This window comes from Homo sapiens, chromosome 5 (genome assembly GCF_000001405.40).
Source record: "Homo sapiens chromosome 5, GRCh38.p14 Primary Assembly".
Taxonomy (NCBI): Eukaryota; Metazoa; Chordata; class Mammalia; order Primates; family Hominidae; genus Homo; species Homo sapiens.
The window spans coordinates 143,191,729-143,214,410 of record NC_000005.10 but is presented as its reverse complement, the minus strand read 5'-3'; the positions used below and the strand labels follow the sequence as shown (position 1 = coordinate 143,214,410).

General features: G+C 41.9%; 1 protein-coding gene and 1 long non-coding RNA gene across 34 annotated transcripts in view, besides 5 other annotated features; both read right to left on the bottom strand.

Moving 5' to 3' along the window:
* ARHGAP26 (Rho GTPase activating protein 26) overlaps window positions 1–22,682 on the bottom strand; it is a 458,635-nt gene that overhangs the window by 14,601 nt on the left and 421,352 nt on the right. For 14 of the 33 annotated variants that reach the window (NM_015071.6, XM_047416970.1, XM_047416985.1 and 11 more), the window contains 2 exons: window positions 6,938–7,213; window positions 323–414 (listed from right to left, as the gene is read on the bottom strand). In NM_015071.6, coding sequence (NP_055886.1) covers window positions 323–414; window positions 6,938–7,213 — 368 coding nt within the window. Of the gene's footprint in view, window positions 1–322; window positions 415–5,718; window positions 5,908–6,937; window positions 7,214–22,682 lie in introns of those variants that run through there. The other 19 variants (NM_001135608.3, XM_005268399.6, XM_047416976.1 and 16 more) reach the window with 7 other exon arrangements.
* Window positions 578–627: an enhancer, noted in NCBI's record as "active region_23333". NCBI's record gives its function as "activates an Ori minimal core promoter by ATAC-STARR-seq in GM12878 lymphoblastoid cells {active_cell/tissue: GM12878}" and the evidence as "EXISTENCE:reporter gene assay evidence [ECO:0000049][PMID:35858748]".
* Window positions 6,676–7,175: an enhancer, noted in NCBI's record as "H3K4me1 hESC enhancer chr5:142586801-142587300 (GRCh37/hg19 assembly coordinates)". NCBI's record gives its function as "activates a minimal SCP1, AML or CMV promoter by ChIP-STARR-seq in primed H9 embryonic stem cells {active_cell/tissue: H9 hESC(primed)}" and the evidence as "EXISTENCE:reporter gene assay evidence [ECO:0000049][PMID:30033119]".
* Window positions 7,285–7,394: an enhancer, noted in NCBI's record as "active region_23332". NCBI's record gives its function as "activates an Ori minimal core promoter by ATAC-STARR-seq in GM12878 lymphoblastoid cells {active_cell/tissue: GM12878}" and the evidence as "EXISTENCE:reporter gene assay evidence [ECO:0000049][PMID:35858748]".
* Window positions 7,815–7,924: an enhancer, noted in NCBI's record as "active region_23331". NCBI's record gives its function as "activates an Ori minimal core promoter by ATAC-STARR-seq in GM12878 lymphoblastoid cells {active_cell/tissue: GM12878}" and the evidence as "EXISTENCE:reporter gene assay evidence [ECO:0000049][PMID:35858748]".
* Window positions 13,410–13,569: an enhancer, noted in NCBI's record as "active region_23330". NCBI's record gives its function as "activates an Ori minimal core promoter by ATAC-STARR-seq in GM12878 lymphoblastoid cells {active_cell/tissue: GM12878}" and the evidence as "EXISTENCE:reporter gene assay evidence [ECO:0000049][PMID:35858748]".
* On the bottom strand, window positions 20,245–21,911 carry ARHGAP26-IT1 (ARHGAP26 intronic transcript 1). Its single transcript, NR_046816.1, has 2 exons — window positions 21,779–21,911; window positions 20,245–20,499 (listed from the first exon to the last, which is right to left on the bottom strand). It is a non-coding gene; the product is annotated as an ARHGAP26 intronic transcript 1 (long non-coding RNA).

The window sequence follows — 22,682 nt, the reverse complement described above, 5'->3', positions numbered from 1 at the left end:
GTGATGTGTATGATCTCTTAAAGCCACTTCCAGGTCCTGGGCTGGGTCTTTTGCAGGCACAATCTCATTTACAGTGGTAACAACTCAACATGGAGCTGATTACACTAGTCCACTCTTCACAATGTCTCCGGAAGTCCTGCTGCTGCTATTTTATTTTGGGAAAAGACACAGAAACCAACACACACAGACGCACACACACTTTTTTTCTTACCCATTGTATTGAGATTTTCCCTCGGGAGGAGCTTTGAAAATGCCAGTTATTTATGTGCTCCCCTTGCCCCCGCCCCCCGCCCATATCTTTGTGAGGGGATGAGAAACTCACCGTTATCGAAGACCGTGCCTGCTGTGAACGAAAGTTCTGAGTCATGTTCAGCTTTGCAGGCATACAAGGCTTTTGCCTTCCGGAACGGTGTGCTGTGTGAAAACAGGAGTTTATTTAACATTTTTGAAAAAACCCTTAGAAAGCCCCAGACATTTCATCTCTCTTCTTCCCTTTCCCTGTAAGCTACCTAGTCCCCTCTCGTGGGAAGTGCCTGGCAAGGCAGCCAGATGGCAAGACATGAGGTGGGAAAGCTGCAAAGATCACAGGAGAAAAATGAGAAATATTCAGAGAAAAGCCATAAGCTTCAAGAAACTACACTTTTTGTGGGGTCACCTTGTGCCATGTTAAAACTTTACCTGGGAGTTACAACAGCCAAACAGCGGGAGGGCAGGCTGGGCCCCATTTTTGGAGCAGGAGTGCCTTGGGGGAAGGGAGGGAAGCAGGGGCAGGAAAGAAGTTCCAAGCTGCTCTGGGGAACACACTCCCAACAGAACCTGTTGAAAGCTGGCAATGCTCAGTGAGTCAAAAAGAAGAAATTCCAGCAAAGCCAAGTTTCAGTTCCAGGCCACGGGCGGACATGAGCTCTCCCAGATGTTCCTGATTTCTTACTAGACTGGGTCTTGCTGGTGAGACAGGATTCCAGAGCTGGAGCTCTCCAACCCCCAGGGGAGGGAATAGACAAGGTGCATGAGGGCAATTACACATGTGTGTGCATGAGCACACACGTGCACCTGTATGGGGAGTGTGGGGAGGAGGAAGAAGGGAGAGGGGACATGAGGCATTTTTTTTGGTTTGTTTTTGCTTTTCTCATGTCCGTTGAATGTTTACAATCACTCTCACTGTGCATCCGAAACACCTGGGGAGCATTTAGAAAATGCAGATGTCTAGGTTCTACCCAGATATGCAGATATTATACAGGCATCAGTAGTTTTTGTTTGTTTGTTTAGACGGAGTCTTGCTCTGTCGCCCAGGCTGGAGTGCAGTGGTGCGATCTCGGCTCACTGCAAGCTCCGCCTCCTGGGTTCACGCCATTCTCCTGCCTCAGCCTCCCGAGTAGCTGGGACTACAGGCGCCTGCTACCAAGCCTGGCTAATTTATTGTATTTTTAGTAGAGACAGGGTTTCACCGTGTTAGCCAGGATGGTCTCAATCTCCTGACCTCGTGATCCGCCTGCCTCAGCCTCCCAAAGTGCTGGGATTACAGGCGTGAGCCACCGCGCCCGGCCAGGCATCAGTATTTTAAAAAAGCTCTCCAAGTAATTCCAACGTGCAGTGAGGGTTGAGAACCACTGTTCTAGAGCAGAAGGTGGCAAACTTTCTCTGCAAAGGGCCGGGTGGTAAATATTTCAGGCTTTGTGAGCCACATGGTCTCCATCGTGCAGAGTGATCAGAGTAAATGGTTATCTCGAATTTATTGCTGGGCCATAGTTTACTGTTGTTCCCTCTGGTTTTCTAGGAGCCAAGAGATGATGGCCAGGTGGGAAAACATTGGGAAAGTGGGGGAAAATGAAGTGGGACCCCTGGGAACAAAGGAAAGAAGAGTCCTTAGTATTCACCAGCTCCAACAGGAAAACAGCTCTTCCTGGCTAATTATGATGACAGAATAAAGTTCAGGACAAGGGGCACTGCCTGTGAGCCAAAGAAACCGAGTCTATGTATTGGCCAGCAAGGACCAAACATCCTATGTGCAACTTTCCAGGGAGGAATATAAGAGGCATTTTTTTTTTTTTTTTTTCTTGAGAGGCTGGGAAGCAGACAGGAGGAGTGACTTGGCTGTGAAAAGTGCTAAAACAGATAAAAGACTATACTGACAGGCAAATGGAGCCTGTTATGACACTGACATTGAAGGTGAAAGGAGAATCCAGTTCACATTAGCCAGGGTCTCAGAGACCAGGTTTTGAGGCAGTATTTCTGCCTCTTGAGGACAGGGCAGAGCAGGTGGGTAAAAAGCAAAGAGACCAGGGAAGGGGGACTAAAAGTAAGGGAAACAGCATCTGAGGAAAGGCTCCTCTGACTGGATTTTCACAAACATTATTTATTAACCTCACTAAACAAGGATAATGGGACAAAACAGGGGCAAGCTGGAAAACCAGCAGGGGTATTTGGCAGCCAGAAATAAAAGGGAGTGGTCCAGGTGCCCAAGATTATCATTCAAAAGGAGTAACATTCCATTGATATTAGGTTTGTGAAATTGAATAATGAAGTGGCAATAACATAGTACGTTAAAAAATAACAAACTAGGCACTGTGGCACATGCCTGTAATCCTAGCACTTTGGGAGGTGGGAGGATTGCTTGAGCCCAGGAATTTAAGACCAGACTGTAGAGACCTCCATCTCTACAAAAAAATAAAAAAAATTAGCCAGGCATGATGGGACACGTGTGGAGTCCAGGTTACTTGGGAGGCTGAGGCAGGAGGATTGCTTGAGCCCAGGAGGTGGGAGCCGCAGTGAGCTGAGATTGCACCACTGCACTCTAGTCAAGTGAGACCCTGGCTCAAAAAAAAAAAAAAAGTAAGTAGGTAAATAAATAAATAAGCAAGCCAAGAAAGGGCCTTGTTTTTTTCTCAAGTTGATAGGCAACTGACAGTCTATGGGAGGGCTTTTCCCTTGAGATCTCCCTCTACTGCTTTAGGATAGGCACAAAAATGGGAGAAATGACAGAAGAGGTGCTTTTAAAGGGGGCCATTCCTGTTGCCCAAGGAATAGGAATGGGTAGGGTTGCCAGATAAAATACAGGACACCTAGTTAGATTTGGATGGCAGAATAAACAATAAATATTTCTTTAGTATACGTTATGTCCCAAATATTGCATGGGACATACATATATGAAAAAATTTTTGTTGTTTATCTACCATCCAAATTTAACTGGGTCTGCTGTATTTTTATTTTATTTGCTAAATCTGGCAACCCTACCCAAAAAGTCTTATCTTCTTAAAAGCTTGTCAGCCCAACAAGTCAAGTGTCCCATAACTCCTTCTGAAAGGTCTTAAGCAGTTTGCTTTAGGTAGGGTTCCTACCAAAACAGACAAATCCTGTTGGCAGAGAGATTGTATTTGTAGGCTTTGGCTCTGATAAAAAAATAAAATAAAAAATCTCCACCAGGCATCATTGGTTCTTTGGCTTCCTATTCTCCACAGTATATCTCAAAACTGGATACAGAGGGCCTGGGGTAGTTTTCGGCTGCTCCTGTCAACAGTGCCCTTCAGACCTCAGCTGGGCCTTTAAGGGCATGAACAAGTTGGGATCCTCCTGCTAGTTCCCTTTTAATTTTCACCTCTGAGCATGGCACAAGGCCTGGAAAGCACTCACAGGAGTTTCCCTCAAATGCCCTTGCAAACCTTGCAAAATGATGACCCATTCGCCATCATATGGCACTACAGGGAGGTGGGACCAGCTAGACTGGCAGGTGGAAAGGGGTTGATCATTTAGGCATAATTTCCAGGGACCCCTGGGCAAATGCAAGTTACGGGTTTGGGGCTATCGGCTTTTTTGGGGGAGGGGTGAGCAAGTGAAAGAAAAGGGAAATACGGAGGGAATGTGTCTCCAGCACCCTTTCTCTACTGTGCTGCAAAAGGCATCTTCATTCCTGACTTTGAACAAACAAGGTCTATAAATGGTTTGAAGAGGGGACAGTGATATGGTTTGGCTCTGTGTCCCCACCTGAATCTCATCTTGTAGCTCCCATCATTCCCGTGTTGTGGGAGAGACTCGGTGGGAGATGATTGAATCACTGGGGACGGTCTTTCCTGTACTGTTCTCATAATACTGAATGGGTCTCACGAGATCTGATGATTTTAAAAAACGGGAGTTTCCCTGCACAAACTCTCTTTTTGCCTGCCGCCATCCATGAAAGACGTGACTTCCTCCTCCTTGCCTTCTGCCAGGATTGTGAGGCCTCCCCAGCCACGTGGAACTGCAAGTCCGTTAAACGTCTTTTTCTTCCCAGTCTCGGGTATGTTTTTATCAGCAGCATGAAAACAGACTAATTCAGACAGTAAGCAATTTCCAGAGGAGACATCATTCAGAAGTTCATGGGACCACTGATTAGATCTAATTCAATATTTACTTATAAAGGCTTTGCTCAGGGAAGGAAATCTGAAGCTTCATGCTCTGGAAGTGGATTTGAGGGAGGCCCCAGTGGACCTGAATAATGGGTGTATACCACCACCTCTTTGCTATACACTACAGTGTACAGGTTTCGGCCCTCTCTGTTCCTCTGATGGGCTAGCTCCTCAGCAGTGTTGCTGTCTGTGCTCATCTGGGCACACACATTTAGTCCAACTCTGCCTTGACTATTTTTTTTTTTTTTGAGATGGAGTCTAGCTCTGTCACCCAGACTGGAATGCAATGGCACGATCTTGGCTCACTGCAAACTTTGCCTCCCAGGTTCAAGCAATCCTCCTGCCTTAGCCTCCTGAGTAGCTGGGATTACAGGCGCCCACCACCATGCCTGGCTAATTTTTGTATTTTTAGTAGAGATGGGGTTTTGTCACGTTGTCCAGGCTGGTCTTGAACTCCTCACCTCGGGTGATCTCCCCACCTTGGCCTCCCAAAGTGCTGGGATTACAGCTGTGAACCACTGTGCCCGGCCTGCCTTGACTATTTCAAGAGGGCAGCTTCCTAAAGGGTGTCCAAATAGTGCTATTCTAACAATGGCCAGGGGAGGAGGTACTGAGTAACTGTGACCCCAGACACACAAGATGGCAACAGAATGGCAGATTCTATTGCCATTGCCCTCTGTCAATCTGGAAATACTTTGGGAGGTAGGAAGAAGTAGGAAGGAAAAACAGTCTGGAAATATTTGGGGAGATGAAAACGAGTGAAGAGGTAGAGATACTTGACAAGAAACAGGGCCCCAAATCTCAGAGTCACAAAAAAGTGAGTACCATCAAGGCAGAGAGGACATTTTAGGATTTTAGCTGAGTGATTTCACTCTCTTGAGTCTCTTAACCCATTTTGTCCAAAGGGCCAATATTTTGAAGATTTTTACTCCATTTTGATAAAAATGAAGGAATTACATTTTCCTAAAGCCCAAGTTTCTCTAATGAGTAAGTGAGGCATTTTGGAAGCTGACTTGTCTGTGGTCACTTAGTTTCCTCTGGTTCAGGTCCTCATGATCTAATGAGAATAATCTATGCTATTTCTGGTATCTTAGAAAGTTGATGTCTCCCAAAGTGCCCAGAAGATGTCCAAGAAATGATTAGGAAATCACTAGAATGTCAGGAAGACATGATCTGAAAATTTCCCTTATTTATAGAGTGAGAAAAAAAAGAATTACTGAAAATCTCCTTCCCATCATCCAGGACAAAGCCAGGTAGAAAGCTGTATAAAACCTAAAAGAGCAAGTCAGGCTCTGGGCTGGGAGCTGCACGGAAACTCAAAGTTGGGGTTACCCACGTGTTTGGAGGAAAGAGTGCTGAGCTGAGGGGGAGAAGTCCTGAATTCTGGATTGGCTCTCATTTAGTCATAGCATTGTGTCCAAGTCACCTCCCTGTGTTTTAGTTTTCTTTTTCCACAGTAGGGTTCAGGCCATTTCTCTTCTCATTCTCACACGAGGATAGAATGAAATGATAGATGTGTAAGTGCCTAGTGGGGAATAAAGTAATATATGTATCTGTATATATATAAATAGCATGGGGTTTTCTTTTCTTCTAAAAGTGAAACTCGGCTTCATAAATTATTTAAGCCTCTCTGCTGGATCCACCCTTTGGAGAAAAAGACAGAAGGGAAAATACTCCCAAAGCCCAAAACGCTTCTGATGCTTATAACTGGGCTCTACAATTTGGTTGTCTGAAAGCTGAGACTAAGCTTGAGAGAGAAGCACGTTTAGGAGCTCCACAGCATAGGAATTCTGCAGGATCCCTATTCGTTCTTTTCCCGGTTGTAAAGAGCTCTTTTTTTTTCCCAAAGAGCACAAGAGCAAAAAACTTAAGTGCGGAAGTCACAAAAGCAGGGAAAACTACAGCATGGCCCTGAGAAGAGGAACTAGGTCAAGCTGCTCTCCCTCAGAGAGAGGTAGTGCCTGTTCCCAGGACAGCTCAGGCTTCATGACACACAGAGACAGAAGCAGGCTGGGAGCATGGATGGTTTCGGGAGTATATGGGGGACAACGAGGCATAAGCCGTGAGCAATTTAAGAGAAATCGCTTCGTCTCTCAAGCTTTTATTCTATGTTCGACGTCTCTCCCCCAGTGGATCTGGTCTAAGTGACTGGGTGTCAGTGCTTAGGGCCAGGGGCCCAACCCCACAAATAAATATTGCCTGACGCTGCCTGATAAACATGAGAAAAGAAAAGGTTGGCACATGTCCCAACACTGTTTCCTCTTATGTTATCTTACACCAAAGTGCAGAGAGCACATGAAATTGAGAGAGCCATCAAAACCAGAGTCTGGTTCAGGAGGTGCTCCTTCCCCTAACTCTAGGCACCAGAGAGGTTAATTCAGAAACTTGAGTCAGGGTTGAAAAGGGTGTGAAAAATGCCATGCTGATTCATGCAAATGGTCCCTTTTAGCTCTGGTCTCTTAGGATGGAACCACAGGAGAGCAGGGGCAGCCCCCTGTTGTCCCTGGCCAGCTTTGGATAAACGGGAACAGATTGGTCATCATCCGAGATTTTACCTGGAGTCTTCATGTACCGCTTCTTCTGGCCTGTCAAAAAGCAAGTGCAGGTTTGGATGGCAGGGAACAAAGTTGACGAGGAGGCTGAACACTGCATGAAGAGAGGACCGAGCCAATGAGAGAACAACGGCAGCAACAGAAAACCAAACAAACCCTGCAACAGACCTGACGGGGGATGAGTCGCTGGACGTGGATGAGGTGGGCATAGGGCTGGATGGCGCCGAGAACATGGGCCAAGATGGCGAGAGGGGTGAAGTTGGGCTTGGATTCGGGGGGCTGCAAGACATAACAACCAGAAAACTTGTCAGCACACAGGGAAACCACAATGGGAGCACAGGAGGTCATGGGAGGCCAGATGACGGAAAGCTGGGCAGAGCAGAGGAGCACCGAAACCCAGGGATGTGCTGTCAGGGCCATGTCACATTCCTCCAGACCAAATCTCCACGTCCAAGTAAACGTCTGTTCTGTAATTCCTCGGAGTATAAACAGGCTTTGCCCTGCAGAACAACTGCTTTTCAGGTGATAGAAGCTTCTTCGATCATGTACATTGGCGACAAATGCCCTGAGCCCACGCACATGAGTTCCCACACCCACGTGCTATCACCAGCCTTGTTCTGAGGCAGGGCTAGCTTATAGCGAGCCTTCAGCTTCCACTCTTGTGGGAGTGTTTTTCAGGTTACGTCTCAGCAGAAATGACCATGTTTTTTTTCTTCTGGGCCACAAAGGCCATTCGGTGAGAAAATAATCTCCTGTTTGCATTTTTAACTAGATGGGCTGTGTGCCACTGGAGATCTGAAGTACTGCATGAAGAAGGTGATAGCCGATGGAGGTGAATACAGATACACCTCTTGGGAGACGGCATGCAATTACCAGCAGAATGCGGTTCCTCTGAGGTTTGCTGCCTGGGCTTGCCCTTTCTCCTTTCGTGGAATTTGGGCATTACGATACTCAAAGAAAAAGCCCCAGAGGGAAGGCAATGAAAAAAACGAACTGAAACCTTCAATTTGTTCATTTTGTTCCTTGACGGGTAGCTAATCAAAAGTTTGGAGAGGAAAGGTTGAAATTACTCACTGAAACGTGGCTTGTGGATTTTAATTGGTTGTGTTAGCCCTTTGACTTATTTCCACAAATGACACAAGCACCTTCACAACTCTGTGAAATCATACATCACAAATAGTGCAAACACCAATGACAGAGAGAAACCAGTTCAGCCACACCACCACTTGCCACTCCTGAATCTCAGCGGACTGCTGAACTATTTGAAACAAGCCCTTCATGGGGGCAAAAATGACAGAAATCCGGTTCAAGGGGAACAGACTTTCTAAGCGTACTGCAATTTAGCAGGCACACACAAATGTCCTACTTACTGGGACTTCCCTAGGGTTATACCAATTCAAACATGAGACCCAATAATAGCCCTAATTACTTACTGTTGTAACACCTATAGACAAATAACAGCAAAAACCACAGTGTGAGTTCATCAGAGAGGCTCAAACTAATGTGACTGATAAACACTTTATTAAATTCCATTACGTATATTTTTAGAACATAAATTCCATGAGGCAGAGGCTTTTGTTTTGCTTACTGCTGTATATCCAGTGTCTAAAATATCCAGTGTCTGTAGGTACTATATTTAACAAATCATTACTGAGTAAATTAATGAGTCTCATTTACCCACGCAACAAGCCCACAAACAAGTACTGCTATAATTCCCATTTCACAGATGTGGAAACCTGGGCTAAGCTGAGGCTTCTCTAAGGATACCCAGCCTATAAGTAACAGGGCTGAGGTTCAAACCTCATCTGCTGATTCTAAGCCCAGGGCTCCTGCAGCCAGCGTACTCCCTCTGACATAGCAGGACTTGCCCTGTTCCTCTAGCCTGTGCCAAGCTTCTTTACAGACTCAGTCATAGCATTAGAATTCTTCTTAACCACTGATTCATGTGTTTCCTTTAGATACCTACCCTATTTGCAAGGGAAAATGACAATACAGTGATAGAGAATCACAATAAGACTCAACATATTCTAAATTCCAACAAAATCCCCAATCCTGCCTCCAGTGTTCGGTCTGGCGGATTCATATAGCAGATGGCATTCATATAAGAGAAGAAATAAAATGTAAAGAGTATGACTCTTTAAAGCTTTTTTTTCTTAATCCAGCAAAAACTAGTCATTGAGCACTCAGTATGTTCAATACAATAAATGATATTTGCCAAGGTCCCTTGACTTCAAGAGCTTAAAATATATTTGACAAGAAGCGACAGATTTAAAAACAACAGTAATGTAAGACAGTAAGATCCATCAGTTGAGGGCTAAGCTAGTACTAGCTTAATACCTGGCTCCCCCTTGACTCTGTCTTGAGTCCTAGGAAAAGTGTCAACTCCTCTCTACTGTGCAGTCTCCATTTTCTTCCACAGTTGCTGCTAGTCAGAGAGGCCTCACTTTCTCAGTCCTCTCAACACAACCCTGCCCCACCAGACAATGACCTAGTAGGCAAGGCCTGGCAACAACTTTCAAACCACAGCCCAGCCCAGGAACCCAAGCAGAACCAGGGACAATTTGGAGGTTCAAGAGAACAGCCCAGACCCAGGGGCTTGTACCAATCTGTTCTTTTGGTCAGTGGTTACCACAGGACAATTAAAAAGTCCTTCCAACTTTTTTTTTTTTAAATGACTTTAATAAGTAGGAAACACCTCCAGCTTCCTATTCCATCTGTACCAAGAATTATGCCTTTGGCTAATGGCATAGTTTGGAACATATTCTGTGAACACAATGTGGGTTCTAAATGTTTTTCACATCCTCAGATATCTAAGTGGTTTTTGGCCAGAACTACACGGCTGAAATTATCTGGGGGTGCGGCTGGAATGCAGGATATTCGTAACTATTATAATAACTTACTCCTCAATCCCCATGTCAATTACCGTAGTATCAACTGCAATTTTTTCTTCTGGAGACGGAGTTTTGCTCTTGTCGCCCAGGCTGGAGTGCAATGGCACAATCTTGGCTCACTGCAACCTCTGCCTCTTGGGTTCAAGCGATTCTCCTACCTCAGCCTCCCAAGTAGCTGGGATTATAGATCCCCCCCACCATGCCTGGCTAATTTTTTGTATTTTTAGTAGAGACAGGGTTTCACCATGTTGGTCAGGCTGGTCTTGAACTCCTGACCTCAGGTGTTCCACCCACCTTGGCCTCCCAAAGTGCTGGAATTACAGGCATGAGCCACCATGCCTGGCCTCAAATGCAATTTTTAACAACAGAATTTCAGAATTTCATTTGTTTATGTTTTAGCCATAGCAGTAACATTTGGTATAAAGTGACTGCATTTTAACATTTATTACCACTATGTTTGAATTGGTATAATAATAAAATGCATACTCCATAGTACTTCTGTGATTTTTTTTTTTTTAATTATACTTTAAGTTCTGGGATACATGTGCAGAATGTGCAGGTTTGTTACATAGATATACACGTGCCATGATGGTTTGCTGCACCCATCAACCCATCATCTACATTAGGTATTTCTCCTAATGCTATCCCTCCCCTAGCCCCCTACCCCCTGACAGGCCCCGGTGTGTGATGTTCCCCTCCCTGTGTCCATGTGTTCTCACTAACTCCCACTTATGAGTGAGAACATGCGGTGTTTGGTTTTCTGTTCCTGTGTTAGTTTGCTGAGAATGATGGTTTCCAGCTTCATCCATGTCCCTGCAAAGGACATGAAGTCATCCTTTTTTATGGCTGCATAGTATTCCATGGTGTATATGTGCCACATTTTCTTTATCCAGTCTATCACTGATGGGCATTTGGGTTGGTTCCAAGTCTTTGCTATTGTGAACAGTGCTGCAATAAACATACGTGTGCATGTGTCTTTATAGTAGAATGATTTATAATCCTTTGGGTGTATACACAGTAGTGGGATTGCTGGGTCAAATGGTATGTCTGGCTCTAGATCCTTGAAAAATCGCCACACTGTCTTCCACAATGGTTGAACCAATTTACAACCCCAGCAACAGTGTAAAAGCATTCCTGTTTCTCCACATCCTCTCCAGCATGTGTTGTTTCCTGACTTTTTAATGATTGCCATTCTAACTGGCATGAGATGGTATCTCACTGTGGTTTTGATTTGCATTTCTCTAATGACCAGTGATGATGAGTGTTTTTTTTATATGTTTGTTTGCCACATAAATGTCTTCTTTTGAGAAGTATCTGTTCATATCCTTCACCCACTTTTTGATGGGGTTGTTTTTTTTTCTTGTAAATTTGTTTAAGTTCCTTGTAGATTCTGGATATTAGCCCTTTGTCAGATAGATTGCAAAAATTTTCTCCCATTCTGTAGGTTGCCTGTTCACTCTGATGATAGTTTCTTCTGCTGTGCAGAAGCTTTTTAGTTTAATTAGATCACATTTGTCAATCTTGGCTTTTGTTGCCATTGCTTTTGGTGTTTTAGTCATGAAGTCTTTGACCATGCCAATGTCCTGAATGGTATTGCCTAGGTTTTCTTCTAGAGTTTTTACGGCTTTAGGTCTTACATTTAAGTCTTTAATCCATCTTGAGCTAATTTTTGTATAAAATGTAAGGAAGGGGTCCAGTTTCAGTTTTCTGCATATGGCTAGCCAATTTTCCCAACAGCATTTATTAAATAGGAAATCCTTTCCCCATTGCTTGTTTTTATCAGGTTTGTCAGAGATCAGATGGTTGTAGATGTGTGGCGTCATTTCTGAGGCCTCTGTTCTGTTCCATTGATCTATATATCTGTTTTGGTACCAGTACCATGCTGTTTTGGTTTCTGGAGCCTTGTAATATAGTTTGAATCCAGGTAGCATGTTCCCTCCAGCTTTGTTTTTTTGCTTAGGATTGTCTTGGCTATACGGGCTCTTTTTTGGTTCCATATGAAATTTAAAGTAGTTTTTTCTAATTCTGTGAAGGAAGTCAGTGGTAGCTTGATGGGGATAGCATTGAATCTATCAATTACTTTGGGCAGTATGGCTATTTTATGGCTATTTTCATGATACTGATTCTTCCTATCCATGAACATGGAATGTTTTTCCATTTGTTTGTGTCCTTGTCTTATTTCCTCGAGCAGTGGTCTGTAGTTTTCCTTGAAGAGGTCCTTCATATCCCTTGTAAGTTGTATTCCTAGGTATTTTATTCTCTTTGTAGCAATTGTGAATGGCAGTTCACTTCAATTTACCAAGCAAATGGAAAAAAAAAAAAGCAGGGGTTGCAATCCTAGTCTCTGATAAAACACTTAAAACCAACAAAGATGAAAAAAGACAAAGAAGTGCATTAAATAATGGTAAAGGGATCAATGCAAAAAGAAGAGCTAACTTAATGCAACAGGAAGAGCTAACTATCCTAAATATATATGTACCTAATACAGGAGCACCCAGATTCATAAAGCAAGTTCTTAGAGACTTACAAAGAGACTTATACTACCACACAATAATAGTGGGAGACTTTACCACCCCACTGAGATATTAGACAGATCAAGATAGAAAATTAACAAGGATATTCAGGACTTGAACTCAGCACTGGACCAAGCGGACCTAACAGACATCTACAGCACTCTTCACTTCTGTGATTTTTTAAATGACTAAAGGAATTATGCCTTTTGTTTATTTGTACTTTAGAGTCATGGCAATAATCCTATCAACAATACTACTGCACATTTTATGTACTGCAAAGATGCATGTCGCAACAGAAGGACTGTAAACAGACAAGAAATAGAGAGTACATTGTATTTTAGTTCTGATGCAAAACTAAGGGTGTATGACTATGTGTTCTCATACTCATAGAACACATATGTGAGATATAAGACGCACAGGGATGGTTATTATGGCCCAAGACTCTTTGTAGAATCTTAAATTCTCCTTTCACTACAGAAGTGTCTGGCTGTAGGTTACTTAAAAATGACAACGGCAGACAAAAATAAATACATAAATAAACAAAATAAAAATCTTGCTCCCTCCTGCCCCTCACCAAACCCAAAACAAAACAGACAAATTTCAAAATGGTCAATTTCACTCCTGGCTCTGAAACCTCCAATATCAAATTTGCAACCCCTTTCCCACTAATGAAGCCAAGGATAACAAACAATTAAAAGAGGAGAAAATGATTTTATAACTACAATTTTAGCAGATGACTGCTAAAGGCATTCCTACAACCCTCAGAGTCCAGATGGGTGTATTAAGCTGAATGCCCAGTGCCCCTAAATATTCCTGGGGTCCTGCCAGGCCCCCACATCTAGGCCCAATGACAGCAACAACACAGCATACACTGTAGCATGCAAGGAACATTTGCTGGTCTGGTTTGGATTCAACTGGTAGGCTTACATCCACTTTAGTTTGCTGGCCCACAGTGTCCTCAAAAGGAGTCAGACAGTCCCAGTCAGTCTCTGAAATTCACTGGACAGTGAAAGAATAACGGTTTAGGAAGATAAGGCTAAAAGGCTTGGCAGCATAATGGGTTGTGGCTGATAGTTCAAGTACAGTGTGTAGCAATATCATCAGCTTGACACCCTTCTGTGGTGACTCACTTGAATGATGGAACATCTGCTGGACCAGCCAGGGCATGCCTGCCATACTGTGGCAGGGCTGCCCAGGCAGGCTCCCAGTCTGACAAGGGATGTGGCAGACCCTCTCTGATCTCCACACCACAGTAGTAGAGCTGCTATAAGATGAGAGGTTCTGTAACTGGAGGAGTAAGCTGACCACGAAGAAGAAAGTTAATCTTTCAAAATTCTAATAATGAAAATTACTGACGGCCTTGTAGAAAATTGGAAAATACCAAAAACCAAGAAGAAAAGAAATACAACCATACATAATTTATGCCACTGATAATCACTGTTAACACTTTGGCATATTTCTCCTCGCTTTTTTTTGGAGAATTATACTACACATGTAGTTAATACCCTCCTTTTTTTCCCTTAATAAGGCATTTTCCAATGCAATTATATAGCCTTTGATAACATATTTTTAAAATGGCTACAGGCTGTTCTATTGTATGGTATACTCTGATTTCTGTAACCATTTTCTTATTGTGTATATTCAGACTCCTATCCCCCTTTAGCTATTATAAATAGCATTGCAACTCACATCTTTGTAGAGAATCCCTGCCAGTGTCTCAATTGTTTCCTTAGCATAAATTCCTGAAAGTAAAATTAGTGGGTCAAAGGCTAGGAGTTTCTTTTAAAGGTGTTGATATACCGTGCCAAATAGCTTTCCAGAAAGGTTCTACTGCTGTGCATTTCCACCAACACTGACAATTCCTTCTCACCATTACCCCACCAACATTGAGCATGATCATTAGAAAAAAATTAGATGAACATTTTTTCAGTGTTCAGAGGTTACCCTGGACTCTTTGCTTTCCTGGTCTTTTCAGTGATGTACGAATGAATACAATTCCCTTCCTGTGTTCTGTTTCCACGTGGAAGCAATGTTTAATTTTCCAAAGGGCATTTTGACAAGAGGGTTGTGTGGGGAAGGAGACAGGCTGATGGATAAAGAGACAGATATCCACAACCTGGAGATGTGAGACCCCCTAGTTGAAAGGTATGGCTGCTCCCAGAGGAAAAGAAAGTAGTGGATTTGTAGCTTAGTGTAGGACTTTCAAAACAAGGATGAAGTCAGAGGGATAAGGCACACAAGGAAGGGCCTGAGAGTCTTGCACTAAGAGTCTCCACAGTGTCAGACTTTGGAGAAGCAGCAAAATTGGCATTTGCACGTCTCTGCCAGGCAGTGGCCCATGATCTGCAGTCCAGGTCCCCAGTGATATGTCTCAGGCCTGGGCTGAGCCTCGGATCACCGGCCCAGGGCTGGTCTTTATGCTGTCAGTTCCCCTTCCAGGTTAGACTGTTAGGTGGTGATGGTGCTATTAAACTAACAGGGGGCGGCTTTGATTTTGCCCCTATGATGAAAAAGAGAAGAAAATTCCATGAAAATCTAAAATGTCCTATCTAATCTAATCCCATTTCATTGAATTCTTCTTCCTTGGAAAATATCCCTTTCTGGCTTGACTTAAGGTAAAGGGAAATCAAACTTTAGCCAAGAAAATAGAGCCAAAAGGAACAGTGGTAAATTGGCTACTGGTGAACCAGACCAAATGACACAAAACCAGTTTTTATCTGTTGAAAATCTGAAGACATATATTCCTTATGTGTGTCCACTCAAGCTTTTACAACAAAGAAATCCTATATAAGTCCTAACCTCCTGGATTTTCAGTATGTACTTCACAACTTTATGAGCAGAAAAAATCCACAAGTCCCTGAGCTTGACTGTTTCGTGTTCTTTTCTACTACTCATGTGCAGATGTCTTTGCACAGATTATTTCCCCTCATCTAATATAATTTAACATGCATTTTTATTTAAACAATGACAGAGTTCGGTTTCTTATTTTAATGAAACTAGTGAAATCCCCTTAAGGTCTTAACAATAATAGGGAAATGCATTTTAAAATACTTCTTCAATAATTTACTTTAAAAATAGCTTGACTAGTTTACAATGCAGCGGTTCTGTTTTCTAGCTTTAAAAAATAATTCTTAAACTATTGGGTACTGTGGCCACCACCTGGGAGATGGGATCATTTGTACCCCAAACCTCAGCATCACACAATATACCCATGGAACAAACCTGTACATGTACTCCCTGAATCTAAAAGTTGAAATTATTTACACAAATAAAATAATTTCTGAAGTTTTAAATAAACTTTAAACTTAGATGGGGTGAGTAGGAATGGTAAGTAATTCTATGATTTAAACAAAATTCAAGATTTTGGAATAGCGCATACATCATCCTTAATGTTCCCCAAGTCAATAATCCGAATCTTTTCTCACTGAATAATACAGAAATATGAGGTAGAGGGAAAAATTCCAGATTGGAAACAAAGACATCTGGACAACAGTCCTAGTTCAATTGCTCATTGTACAGAAAAACCTCAAGGGAAAGGGTCAGAAAGGTTAAATGGGCAGAATGCTTCTATTGTGCACCGTGGCTCACAATACTTATTGACCTTAATATTCTTTCCTGTTGAACCTAAGTGTAGCCTCTCAATCTTTTCCAATACCGCATTTCAGGCACAACAGAACTGCCTAGAATAAAAATTTCTCTCAACTAAAAAATTTCACAATATGTGAATTTATTTGTAAGAAAACACTAAAGCATTTTGGGGGCATTATAAAGTGTTCATATGGTAACAATTGCTATCTCAAAAGATCTGAATAGTTGCTAAGAAATCCCAATACTTCCTTACTAGGCATATAACTCTTAAATTGAGTATGGTACAATTGCCTTTCTCCACATAATGAAGATATTGTGCTTGCCAAAACAAATTCACTCAAGTAACATACAAATAAAAGGGACGCAATAGTGCTACTACATCCAATCTTTCGTTGTTCTGGGGTATAATCTAAAGCCACTGTTTAAATGCTAGAGATGTTTAAACATGATTCTTAAAATCTGTAAGCAAGAAACTATGACTGCCTCAGGGGGTTGAGAGTGGGGAACTGGATGTACAGATATGGACTAGACATTCACTTTTTTATTTATACTGTTAGGAATTTATCATGGGCCTATACGATTTTATGCTACTAGTGGAAAGTGCTCTTTTATACACGGTGCTAGACTAACTGGATATCTATATGGAAAAAAATGACAGAATCCCCTACCTCACACCATACATAACAAATGTGTTCCAGATGGATTATAGACCTAAATGCCAAAGGCAAACAATAAAGATTTTAGAAGAAATAATTCCAGAAACTGAAGGTTCCCAAACAGGGGTTGGAATTTATCCAGTAGGGCATAGAGAGGGCATATCAAAAACAATATTAAAAGGGTAAAAAGGCAGCCTACAACATAAAAATGAACAAAGGGTTTATAACCAGACTATGTAAAGATTTCTTACTGGTGAGTAAAACACAACCAAGTGGGAAATGGGCAAGAAACCTGAATAGGGATGTTAAAAGAGAAAATCCAAAAGAAAAGGCACTCAACCTTTCTGTGCTGCAGGAAATGCAGATTAAAACCACAGTGAGATGTTACTGCACACCCACCAGAATGACTAAATAGCTAACATCAAAATGCTGGAAATACCAGAGGTTTATGAGAATGAGGTACATCTCATTCTCATCTGTAACTCATATTTTGCTGCAGGAGGGGTGTAAATTGCTACAATCATTTTCAAAAATAGTGTAGCATTATCTAGCAAAGGTGAAGATACCATTCCCTTGGACCCAGTAGTTCCATTGCTAGACATACACCCCAGAGAAAGGTGTGTTATGTGTACACTGGAAGACATGTATTAGAATGTGTAGAGCAAATTATTTGTAAAAGCAGAAAATGGAAATTCAAAATTTTAGAAAAAGTGGAATAAAAAAATAATTTTTGTGTATTAATACAATGGTGCACTCTACAGCAATGAAAATGAACTACAGCAACATAAATGACTTAAATGTGGTTGAGCAAATGAAGTTGAACTCAAAACAATAAAATGTTGCATTTAGGGATATATACAGTCTATCCTCATTATTTCCATATTCCTTATTTGCAAATTCACCTACTTACTAAAATGTATCTGTAACCTCAAAATCAACATCTGGGGTGCTGTTGAGGTCATCCGAGGACATGTGCAGAGCAGCAAAAACCTTGAGTCGCCCAACGGCACATTCCCAGCTGAGGTCAAACAAGGCAAAGCTCTGCCTTCTTGTTTCAGCTCTCATACTGTAAACAAGTGTCTGTTTGAGGTCTACCTAGTACCACATTTTCATGCTCTTCAATGGTGATTTTGCCATTTAAAATGGCCCCTAAGCATACAGCTGAAGCACTGTCAAATGTTCCTAAGCACAAGAAGGTTGTAATGTGCCTTATAGAGAAAATGTGTGTGTTAGATGAGCTCCAGGCATGAGTTAACAGTGCTGCTGGTCCTAAGTTCAATGTTAATAAATCAACAATAATATTAAATGAGGTGACTTTAGGCAGAAATACATATAAAACAGGGTGGTGTACTGATCAGGTGATGAAAATGTTGTGACCAGGGGCTTACAGGAAGCTCACTCTGTATTTCCCCTCCATGCAATGGCTTAGTATTCAGTAATTCCGTGTTTGCAGTGACTTTATAGAACATGACTACCGCGAAAAACAAGAATGGACTGTATTTATGAGGTTAAAATATAAATAAAAACTAATTGATTGCCATAAACATGAGATTAGAGCCCTTGTGGGGAAGAAGAGGACTGTGATGGGGGAGGAGAAAGCAAGAGATGTGGACACCAGCAAGGCTGCAGTTCTTAACCAGTGGGGGGTGAGGGGGTGGTTACTAAATAATAATTTAGTATTATTTAGGGGGTGTTTGCTAAATAATAATTTGTTAAGACGTACATTTATATTTCATGTACTTTTTAATACACGTTCAAGCCTATCTTAAAACATATGAACAGTAAGTACCTTAACATATTAGTAGCATTCCCTGGGTGATGAGATTAAAGGTAACTTTTAAATAGCTTTATTTTTTTAGAGTCGCTTGAGGTTCACAGCAAAATTGAGCAGAAAGTACAGAATTCCCCTATATCCCTTGTTCCCATACGCAAAGTTTTTGTGCTTTTAAAACATATTTTTGCAATTAACATGTTACTTTTATAACCACAACTTAATAAATATTACAAAAAAAAAAAAGTCTCCCCAGCCACCCAAACTACAACTTTTACTCCATAGAAGAAGGATGTTTAATAGAGGCAAAATGATAGTTCAGCCTTTGTTGCACCAATCCACGGTTTAGGTTGCATAATACAGTTGGCAGCTCCCAACTTGTACTGTTTCTCTGCCTACTGCACTGAGAAATTATGTTGACTCTTTTAGAGACTTTTTTATTTTGGGAAACTTATTACAGTAAATCAATGGTCTCTTCCTTTTACCTGGGGTAGGGGGACGTCAAGGAGGATGTCTCTGATGTAGCATTCTGAGTAAGCTGCACAACATGTTAACAACACAGGCTGAGGGGCATTGGCTCTCTGGCATACTTTCCTGTATGGTCTACTTTCAGGGAATATTTCCTGTTTGGACTAGGGGGAGGAAAAAGATTTAATAAGAATCTAAATGTCCACTGCTGAAAACAAAGGAGTAACTAAAATTAGCAGCAGTGGCCCAAGGCATTTCAGCTTACAGGTAACCCTGGAGAGGAGATTCCTTGAGTAAGGAGCCTACTATAATATTTCACTATGTTCAGGACTTTTCAGCAATAGAAGCAGCACTTCTGCAAGGACAATGTCCAGGATGATTAAGTTAAACTCTTGCAAATGCACGAACCTTGGTCCGGATACCATGAAAGGCAGATGAGACAGAGAGAGAAAGAGAGATGAACTTTGATGAAAAGGCTAAAAGTCTCCAAGTCTCTTTCTTTCCCTCCAAGCGAGTAGCAGCCTTCCCTCTAATTCTGGTGCTTATTTAGTAGTCTAAACATGTGGAAAATTGTCTCTGATCTGATTTTAATCTGTTCAAGCTTCTTCTCTACTCCATTTATATCTTCCACACCTGGCCCTGCTCCTTCAGCGTGACCATTCACAAACCTGACACTCTCCCTGTGTTCCCGCTGGCCCTCCACAATGGCTGGCGCAGGCTGCCATGGAGGAATGTAATCTTACTAAGCCTCATGGTGATTTTTACCCCTTGTTCATTTGGTTCTGAGGAGCTTATTGACTTGACTGGAAAAAACTTTAAATGATTTTCCAGCAAAATCACCCTTTCCGCTGGAGAAAAAGAGTTTCACCATCTGTGAATAAAAACAAATTGAAGGAAAATCATTTTTATATTCTCTTCTAGTTCTTGTCCTTCAAAACCAAATATCCACAGAGAAGTCAATGAAAAATGGACATGGCAAAACACAATTCTGATCTCACAAAATTTTTTTTTTTTTCCAAATCTGAGGTGGATCCAAATTTACTCTGGATAATCTACAAGTTACTAAGCAAACTTATAGTGCAAAAAGGTTTCATACATAAATGCTTAACTTAAGAGAACTATTCTTGGTGAACATTTCGAAATTCAAATCTGATGATTACATCATTTCTCTGCTTAAAACACTTCAATGCTTCCCCATTGCTCATAGGATAAGGCCTTCTCACCTAGACTATTATAAGAATCTCCAGCCTGTTTTCTTTACCTTTTACCATTCCAGTCCATCCTACTGTGCACTGTAAGTACAAACACCTGCTAAAGACATAGCTTAATAAATATTTGTTGAATGTTGTTGAATGAAGAGCATTTTCCTGCTCATAAATTTCTCATTACTTAACGAATGTAGAATAAATTCCTTACTCTGGCAGACTGGAATATGTAGTTACAGTTTATTCTAGAATTTTTGCATTCCCCTTCTTCTGGTTCACTTGGAGAAGTTCTTTTCCATCCTAAGTGACCCAGGTGAGTCCAGTGTCCTGCTGATTTCACTGCAGGGCAGGCATGTGATCCAGGCTGGCCACAGTGGTCAGTGTGGACAACTGACCCTTGTTCATCTGTGGAGTCTAACAAAGTAGTGCCCCCTTATCCTCGGTGGTTATGTTCCAAGATGCCCAGTGGATGCCTGAAACCGTGGATAGTACCAAACTATGTATATACTATGTTTTTTATATGTATATATCTATGGTAAAGTTTAATTTATACATTTAAGCATAATAAGAGATGAACAACTACAATGATAAAACAATTATAACAATATAATGAAAATTATGTGAATGTAATGTCTCAAAATATCTTACTGTACCATAAACCGTAGCAGCCTCAGCATATATTTTCCCTTCCTTAAGTCAGTAACTTTCACCTTTTCACTTACAGGAAGCACTTTACGGCTTCTCTTTAGCATATGCAAATTGCCAGCATTACCACTCTTGGACTTTGGGGCCACTGTTAAGTAAAGTAAGGGTTACTTGAACATAAGCACTGTAGGCCGGGGCATGGTGGCTCACGCCTGTAATCCCAGCACTTGTGGTAGGCCAAGGTGGGTAGATCACCCGAGCTCAGGAGTTCGAGACCAGCCTGGCCAACATGGTGAAACCCCACCTTTACTAAAAATACAAAAATTAGCCAGGTTTGGTGGCTGTATACCTGTGATCGCAGCTATTCAAGAGGCTAAGGCAGGAGAATCGCTTGAACCTGGGAGGCGGAGGTTGCAGTGAGCCGAGATCGTGCCACTGCACTCCAGCCTGGGTGACAGAGCGAGACTCTGCCTCAAAAAAAAAAAAAAAAAAAAAAAAAGAAAAGAAAATAAGCACTGTAATACCTGGAGTCAATCTGATAACTGAGGTAGCTACTAAACAACTAAAGGGTGGCCAGTGTCCACAGTGTGGCAAAGGGATGATTCCTGTCCCGGGGAGCAGGACTTCATCATGTGGGGAGCAAGACTTCATCATGCTACTTGGAATGCTATGAAGTTTAAAACTTACAAATTATTTGTTTTTATAATTTTTCATTTAATATTTTCAGACAGTCATTGACCATAAGTAACTGAAGCCAAGGAAAGCAAAACCGTAGATGAGGAGCGCCTACTGCATATGAATGCTCTTCTTTCTGGATCCAACAATAAAATGTATTGGCTTAGGGTGACCAGAGATCTTTTTTCATGTTACATGGCCAACATCTGTCTGCAAATGAAGTTAACATGAAAAAAAAAGAGGGAAGAAGAGCCAAGCAAAATGATAATTTGGGCTCTTAAATCCAAATGTGCTGAGGGTTAGATCCACCATGAGACTTCCCAAAATGTCAGCTTATGACTTCCATTTTTTTCCCTTAAGCTAGCTGGGTTTCCTCATTCCAAGGCGTTTCACAATAGAGCCCCAACTCCCCTCTCAGTACTCATTACTTGCCTTCAAAGTCCCCAGGGGTCTCCAAGTCAGCAAACTTTTTCTTAAGGGGCCATAAAGTAAATAGTTTAGACATTGCAGGCCAAGAGGCAAAACTGAGAATATTATTTAGCTACTTATATAACCATTTAAAATGTAACAATGGAAAAACACTCTTTTCTCACAAGCCATAGAGCAAGCAGGCACCTGGCTGGATGTGGCCTGTGGGCCTTGGTTTGCCTACCCCTGTTCTAAACAAATGGCTTTACTTGTGCCATGAGTATGCTTTAACCTTTTGCACCTCCATGTTCCTGCTGGTGCTGCTGTTCCCATCTGAAATGCCTTTCCCTTTCCTGTAACCACTGCTCATCCGCCACTCAAAGCCCATTTCAAATGCGACCTCCTTCCTCAGGCTTCTTTGATATCACGATGAGTTTGATCTTTCTCCAGTGAGTTAGATCTTTCTCCTTGGAATCTTCAAGGGCTGTGTTTTTCTTCCCGTCTTGATGCTACATTGAATTGCAGTTGTCTTATCCCTCTTTTATCTCTTGCACACTGTGAATGCTTAGAACTGACAATATCTAAAGACTGTATTTTTAAGAAAGACTCCACAGGATCAAGTAAATAGTTAAAAGAATGGAAATGGATCTACCAGAAACCAAGGGTAAGACTGCTGGCAGACAGGGAAGGCAGACATTTCTGAGTCAGAATTATCTGATGTCATAAAACGGTACAGCTCTCATTCTGGTGTTGTCACGACAGCTCCACATATGGCCACTTGTCGGCTTGCCTAAGACAGGCCTGACAAATACGATGGAAGGGGACATTCAGACATTTCATTTCTGGTTGGGAGGGAGACAGGCACATTGGGCATAAACTTGGATGAATGCCTGTGTTTCAGTATTCATTCTCAGCCACCCACTGGCAT